Here is an 8,101-nt window from a genome sequence, read left to right as displayed (position 1 = left end):
TCTGATGACTACTGGCACAAGGCTGGAGGGGGACAGCCCCAGAAAGGACATCAAGGCAGAGATGTGGAAAGAACCTGAGCCTTCGCTGACATCACTGAGTTGCTGGTTGTAGTGGGCTCTGGAATCCCCCATACCTTGAATTCTGGATATATGAGATGAACTTTTTCCAGTATTTTAAGCCATTTTGTTGAATTTTCTGTCACTTGCAGCAGAGATCATATTGACTAATGTAAGAGGGACAGTGGTATTTCAGTGGGCACAGGAGTGCCTCTGGCTTGTAGGAGGCTCTCCAGTCACAGGGACCATGGGCAGGCAGCATCATGTTTCTCAGTGACCATGTAGGGCACTGGGGCTCCCAGGTTCCCTTCTGACCTGCTCAGGATGGAGCTGAGGCAGCAGGTGGGGGCCTCAGTTGGGAAAAGGCAGAAAGTGACACAAACATTAAATGGTGAATCCTTCTTTTGAGCTTTCAATCTGCATTAAAATGGGAAGGTAATTACTACTGATTTTTTTTTAAAAATCAGCTTAAATTTTACTCTTGCTCTTCTTAGATAATATATTTTGAGGAATATTTTTTCTCCCGCAGAAATACTGTACTGCAGTAACAGTAATAGAAACCAACATATAGGAAAGGGGGAAAAAAGAATCTCCTATTACCCTACAACCAACACAATCAAATTATTTTCTTTGCCCATGCTTCCTTGAAATTTCTTGTTCATATTCATTCAAAAGTGTGCAGAATGGTAATCATAGCCCGGGAATCATTATTATTATTATTATTATTATTATTTTTACTGGTGTATGACATTCCATGCTGGGAAGTACCCAAATCTATACAACTTGATTATTTTTCAGTTGTTCACTCTTGTAACCACCCTGTAGTTCAAGATATAAAACATTTGCCTGGGTATCATTTTGGTAGTTTGCTCTTTAAATTTAATGTCATCTCAGCAGCATGTTACCCTGCTGTGTATCCTAAGAATTTTTTAGTGTGCTACATGGTATTCATACTGTTCACTATTAAAAGCTTTAAAAATTTAATCAGATGGTTGCAGCACAGTTATCGGAGCCAACCCACATCACTGGACATTAAGGTTGGTTAAAATTCTTCCAAATTATAAATAATGCTTCAATGATCTGTACAGTAGAGGTCAACAGTTGGCAGCCTGTAGGCTGGATTCTGCCCACACACCCATTTAGCTAAGCTTGCATGGTGTTGGCACTCAGTATTTTAAAGAATATTTGAGTTTTGTCGCAGATTTTAAAACTTACATGGAAATCTGTCTGGATTTCCTGCTTCCTTGATAAGGCAGAAGATCTGGCCACATGGGCCACATTCCCAGCAGTGGCAGTCATGTGGGGCTGAGTAGGGGCTGACCTCCTTGGAAGGGACTTGTGCCCTTCAGCTTCCCACAGTTGCTATGACTCTTAATTTTCTTCTGACAGGATGATACATTAATTTACAGCATCTGCCTGGGCCCAGTAGGCATTTGAGTTTGCCATTCCTGGGATATAGGCTTTTTTCCTGATGCCTATAAAGAAGTCATTTATGCATGAGGTTGCTGATAACCCCTAGGAAATAATAAATACAAGCACATTCAGAAAAGCATAGCAAAAAGGAGCACAACTATGTGTCCAGTGTACCCCAGTGGCGATCACTGCTCATGACTTTAGCCCAGCCACGTCTTCTGTGAGCCTTGATTTTCCCAGGCTTCAAGTGAGAACAGCAACACCCACTTCGTGGGGTAATTGTAAAGATTTAATAGTGTTTGGCACATAGTAGGTAATCAACAAATTATAGCTAAGTAAAAAAAATATTGAAAATTGTTCTTTATGGTCAATTTATCCAATTATAGTTCTTGGAAGGCAAAATTTATTTTCATGAAAGTAAGATTTAATTTCCTCTAAATTTGCTGTTCATTCAAATACTCTCCGGAGACACCTATAAAGTTTTAATAAGAGCAACAATAATAATCATAAGTGGATAGGATTTAATAACGTTGTGCCTGAGTGTCTAAAGAGTGACCTTAATATTATGATTTGAGAGGATAAATTAAAATGTGCTGCATTGCTCAACCATACGAAGAACATTAAGATGGCAGAGAGTTGGTCTTTAACATTGTTGTTTGAACTGATATTTGGCCTTTTTCAGTTGTTAACAGATCCAGAGATTCTTTGTTGAGAGCATCTCTAGTAGTACATAGATGCAAATCTACAGGAAATTCTCTCCCACGTTTTTCATGGGATTAGACAATCCTTCAGTAAGTCTGTAATAATTCTGTGAGTAAGGAAGTCTGTAAATAATTCTTCTTCCTAAATGTCTCTCAAGTCAATGTACTTCTCTCTATCTAGACTGACACCTTCCATGCCTGAGCCTCAATGCATTCTCCACACAGCAGCCAGGGTGGTCTTCCAAAAACTCAACTTATATCATACAATTCTGCCTCTTAAAATTCTTCCACAACTCTCATTTCACTTCAAATACAACCCAAACTTCTTGTGATAGTACACAAGGCTCTGCATGATCTGTCCCTACCTCCTCTTCAACTTCATCTCACACAACACTCCCTCTTGCACATTATACTCCAGCAACACTGATTATCTTCATGTTGAATTGTTTCCCAACCCATAGGCCCTGCATATGCCTCACCTCTGCCAGAATCCCTGCCCCAACCCCACGGTCCCTCTCTCTTTGTAAGATTGGCTTCTTCAGGTCTGAGGTTAAATGTCATGTTTCCACCCTGTCTAAGGAGGTCCTCTACCCTTTCTCACAGTGTCCTATGCCTTCACGCCCTCCCCCAGACACCCTGTAGGATCAGGCTTCACTCACATGGTAATTAGGCTTCACTCACGGTAACCAGGATTCATTCACATGGAATCAGGTTTCACCCACATGGGATCAGGCTTCACTCTGCAGTGATTTTGTTTGTTTCCTTGTTGGTAGTTTGTCTTCCTACTCTAGCTAAGTTTTATAAGACCCGAGGCCACATTTCTTTCATTTACCAGTTACCTCCCCCGCTGCTAGCACATTGCTGGGCATATAGTAGGCAATAAGTATTTATTGATTAAAAGAATGAATAGATGGATGTAACTGCTGTGGGAAAATTCGGGGTAGTCTTAGGAAGGTTTCCTTATACTCTGACAACTAGAAAGAGCTTTAACCTAACCAGCTATATTGGCATGTAGTATGTTGTTGGTATTACTCACAAAGAGAAGTGTTTCAAAGGGCCTAGAGAAATTGAGAGCCAAAGGCCAAGATATGGTCAGTTTGTCTCTAGCACTGCCCAGGGGAGGACCTGGGTTCCAGACAAGTTAGCGCTTACATTTTTCTCTGGATATTAAAGGCTCAGCATTTGATTTATCAATCAGTGTCTTCTGAGTTTGGTTAGCATGAAGCAGAGCCCTTGGACCCAATCAGTTTTGAGAAAGCTGATAAATTGAATCAGCTGAGGGTCTGATGTACCATTGTCTCCCACTGGTGCTCAGCCTGGTGGTTGACCAACTGCCTCTGACACAGCTCTCATTGTCCTCTCCCTTAAGGTACTCAGCTCTGGTCTACCCTCCTAACTACCTTCTGACCTTGGCTCTTCTTCCCCTCAGCTTAACTTCTACCATCTCCCTTCTCCCTGTTGAATACCCTGAGATAGTAAACTCAGGGCATAGATTTCAAACTTAAGAACCAGTAAGCCAGGGCACATCTTTATATTAATAAACAGAAATTAACTCGTGTTTAGGTTTGGCATGATTATGGGCTGATTGGTAGCTCCTGCTGCTGAAGTGTGATATTCTAACCCAGCTCTGCTGGGTGCTGTAAGTGTCCAGGAAATAAAAAAGGAAGGAAGCAAAATTCTGGGCCCTGTGACTTGGGACTTAGGACTTCCCAGATGTGGAAGAACACTAATCTCTTGAAGAGAAGGACAAGATATAGTTAACACAATGAGAAGTCTGCAAAAGGGAAGTAAACTTCTAAATGTGGGGAGTTTTCCTCTCAGGGTCAGGGCCAACTAGTTTCCTTCCATTATTCTGGGAAAGTATGGAGAAAGCTACTCTTTCTGGTCTCCATTTTAAGTTCCCTGGTCTGAGTTGAGTCATTATTCCAACACCAGAGGAACCTTCTACTGGGAGAGTTTGCTGAGATCTGGTAACTTGTGGCTCATGAGAGTAAGAGTGCTCAGAACCATGGATCACATGAGTCTGTGGCTCAGATTGTTGCTGGCCACCCCCTAATCCCTGCAGCATAAGCATAATCTTAGGTAAAGTTATGAAGTTGAACATGTGTCTTATCTATGAACTTACACTATCTTGTCTGCAACATACACAACTCTCAGAACCTCCACCAATTCCTCTTCCCTTAGGCCCACTACTCTCATATTTATAAAAAGAACAAGATAGAAATAAGTGGTAGTAACAATAATAATGGTGGTATCCATCAGGATTCACCCAGGAAAAAAGAAATCACAACAACCTGCGTTCAGATCGCAGCTTTCCCACTTATTACTTGTGTATCTCTCTGACGTTTATTTTTTCTCTTAGCAGTAAAATTGCAAGGTCATTGTGAGGATTCAATAAATGTATGCAGAGTGTCTTTTGAACTCAATAAACATTCTTTTTTCCCCTTCTCAAGCATATTAACATGTTTTAAAATCATCTGGAGGGGTGAGGATTAAAACCAAGAAGTGCTGCTTTAATGGTGTAATTTCAGGCAGTGGGTGGCATAGATATTTTTGGATTTTGGCTCCTCTATGTGCTCCTGACATAATAATATGGAGGTTACTTTCTACTCTGCCTACATATAATGGCAGCTGGGCTTTGCCACTATGATTTCTGTAATGAGCATTCCTGGTCTTTGGTTCTGTCCTGAACTGATAATTGATCCAGTTCAAAGGTTTGATAGGAAAGACATTCTTTGATTAAGTTCTGTTCAGTTCTATTAAATATTTCTTGAATGTCTTCCTTTCTCTCCAGCCCCGTCACCACTGTCATGGTTCAGAGGCTCATCATCCCCTGCATGCATCAGTGCCTCGGCCCCCTAACGGGTCTCCCCACTGCTGAGCTCTTCCTCTCCGCTCCATCCTTCACACAGCAGGCAGAGTGATCTTTCAGAAACATGCATATGATCCTGTCAAGCCTTCGCTGAAAAGCCTTCAGTGTCAATGTGCTTTCTAACCGCAGTTGTTCTCCGCCTCTGGTGTCATGACACACTTGTTTGTCATATCAATTCTGAGGCAGATTCATCCATCCACCCATTCAACAACTATTTATTGAACGCCTACTCTGTGTCAGTTATTGTTGTAGGTGTTTGGGGGTACACCAGTAAACAAACAAACAAAAATCTCTGCATATTGCCAGAAACTTGATACTAGCAAGAGTTAAAGCCCTCAAGATCGTGAATAATTTGACTATTATGGTGGATGCATTTTATTTCTATAATAAAATTATCCTAAATCACTTGTATGGTGAGCTGCTTCTTGATGGGGGATAGAAGAGGGGATTTAGAGCTAGCAGTAGGGGAATTTTGCGTCAATCTCTGTATTCCTTTGGCAGTGTGCATATGAACAATATGATCACTTGTCTGAAGAAAAAATGTTAAATATTGCCACTTGTCTGTGAGATATGATACGAACCCTTTAGCTGTCATTGTCTGGCATCTGCTTACCCCATCAGCCCCATTCTCTGCCACTCCTGGCCTTGTACCTTATACTCTCTGATCCTTTCCTCTCAATTTCGTAGCGGTTTAATTTCTCACAGATAAGGGTTTTGAGGAAAGATAACTGAAATGTGTAAATCATTCCTTCCAAGGCCAGAGGTCCTATCCTTGTGGGAGAAGACAATAAGTTCATCTTGTAAACTGAAAATAAGTAGTGAAAGGGAAATTTGATGGGACCATCAGAATACCGCTAATAAGTCGCATTTATAGTATTTTAGAAAAATAGATTTCTTGGCATTTGATGAAAATAGACATAGTCATATGAAATAATGAAAATATGTGTTGGTATTGGTATATTGTGATTCATTCAAAAGTACATAACAAACACTTTGGAGGATGAAATAGCTTTGGAAGATGAGAAAGAATAAAACTTTATATAGGTATTAGTCTCATTTTGTCCATGTGTAAGAAAGAAATGGACAAAAATAAACTGGAGGAAAAGACCTTTACTATGTATACGATATGAGAAAACCCTCAAGAAATGCCAGCAGAATCTAGTTCTGATGGATTCCTACAATCAGAATTGCTTTTACACCACAAAGTGGACCTCCAGTTGACTCATTGTTTATAGCCTTAACTGAGCCGCGTGCCCAAGTCATCTCATGCTCTGAGTACATATTTTCTCCCAGTTCTTTCAACTTCTGATGTTGGGACTTGTCTTCCCATTTATGATATCAAAGTGATGCCTGGCACAACTGTGGCATGTTGAAGAGGCAGAAAGTAAAGTATCATGAAAGCTGCTTTTGCCTAGGTTTTTATAGAAAAGTGTGAAAACAGAAAACTTTAAGTTAGCACAGATATGTCTTGTGGAAAATGGTCTAGCCTGGAGTCAACAGATTGTGTTTGGATGGAGCCTCTTCCCCTACACTGTTTTATCCTAGGACATTAAGTATGGCTAGTTGGTGGTTCATCAGGGCACGATCCTCTCAGAGGTGTGGGAGAACTAAGTAATATCTAAGACATCCCTAGGATGTATTGAAGTATCTTGAAGCAAGAAACAGAAGTAGTGACTCAAAGCCATGAGTCACTCAGGAGGCTCTAAGGAGGAAGAGTACAGCAAGCAGGCACAGGAAAGCCTGTGATTCTTCTGGGGTAACTTTGGGGAATTGTTTTACAAGGTCCGCAGGGACAGGACATGTTAGAGAGCTCTGCCCCCAACCATGCTGAGAATTGCAGTGCTCAGCAGTTCTCTCTCCAAAAGGGCCACTGCTAATTATTTTGAACCTTACAGCCAAGGCTTTGGTGCCTGGCTTCTCTCCAACAGTGGATGAAATGCGGTGAGGGTTGTTCCTAGGGTGACCCTCACTTTGTAATTAACCCTCCTCATTAGCAGCTCACTTGCTTCCGATGGGCAGTGCACACATGTTTGTGGTTATGTAACTGCCGAACAGGGCTGGGCCAGTCATTTGTTGGCATCCTAATTGTCTCCAATCACAGGGAAATGAATTACAGTGAGAAAAGTAATGAGAAGTGGAGTACCCTGGCAGCCGGCCAAGGCCTTCAAACTATCAGCTGCAAAGCCTAGGAATCTGCCATCAAAGCAAGACACTGGAGGTGGACTTGGGCTAGGGAATCCAGAAGACACATGCCAAGCTGCTCAGGGAAGGTGGCAGGAGTTCGGGGAGGGAGTTGGGAACAGGGAAAGAGAGCACTTGAGTGAAGGAGAGAAGAGGAGAGATTCAGGTACTTTTCCTTCTTTGTGACCTCTCTTTTCTCCCTCTTCTCATCCTCTACTCTCTTCTGATCCTCAACAACCTCCAATACCACCCTAGCAGATGTATTAGCCAGGGTTCTCCAGAGAAACAGAACCAATAGGAGAATCTATCTATATTACACACACACACACACACACACACACACACACACACACACACACACACACACAGATCAGAGAGAGAATGAAAGATTTGGGATGAAAAGTCCCACAATTTCCCATCTGCAAGCTGGAGACCCAGAAAAGCTGGTGGTGTCATTTGAAGGCCTGAGAAGAACCAGGAGTACTGGGGGCAGGAGAAGATGGTTGTCCCAGCTCAAGCAGTGAGGCAGAGAGCAAATTCAGTCTTCCTCTGTGTTTTCATTCTATCCAGGCCCTCAGTGGACTTGATAATGCCCACTCACACTGGGGAGGGCCATCTGCTTTACTTAGTCCACCAATTCAAATGTTAATCTCTTTCAGAAAGACTTTCACAGAGACAGAGTTAATGTTTCACTAGCTATCTGGGCATCCCATGGCCCAGTTAAGTTGACACGAAAAATTACCATCATGGCAGTGATCTTGAGAGCACAGGAAGAAAAGAGAACACAGAGGAAGGGAGTCGATAAGAGGAGTCTGCACAGGTTTAAATAATGAAGAGAAAACAAAGATTGCAATGAACTTTTCTTCTCCATTCCACT

This window comes from Homo sapiens, chromosome 11 (assembly GCF_000001405.40).
Source record: "Homo sapiens chromosome 11, GRCh38.p14 Primary Assembly".
NCBI lineage: Eukaryota > Metazoa > Chordata > Mammalia > Primates > Hominidae > Homo > Homo sapiens.
Note: the sequence above shows the minus strand (reverse complement) of the source record.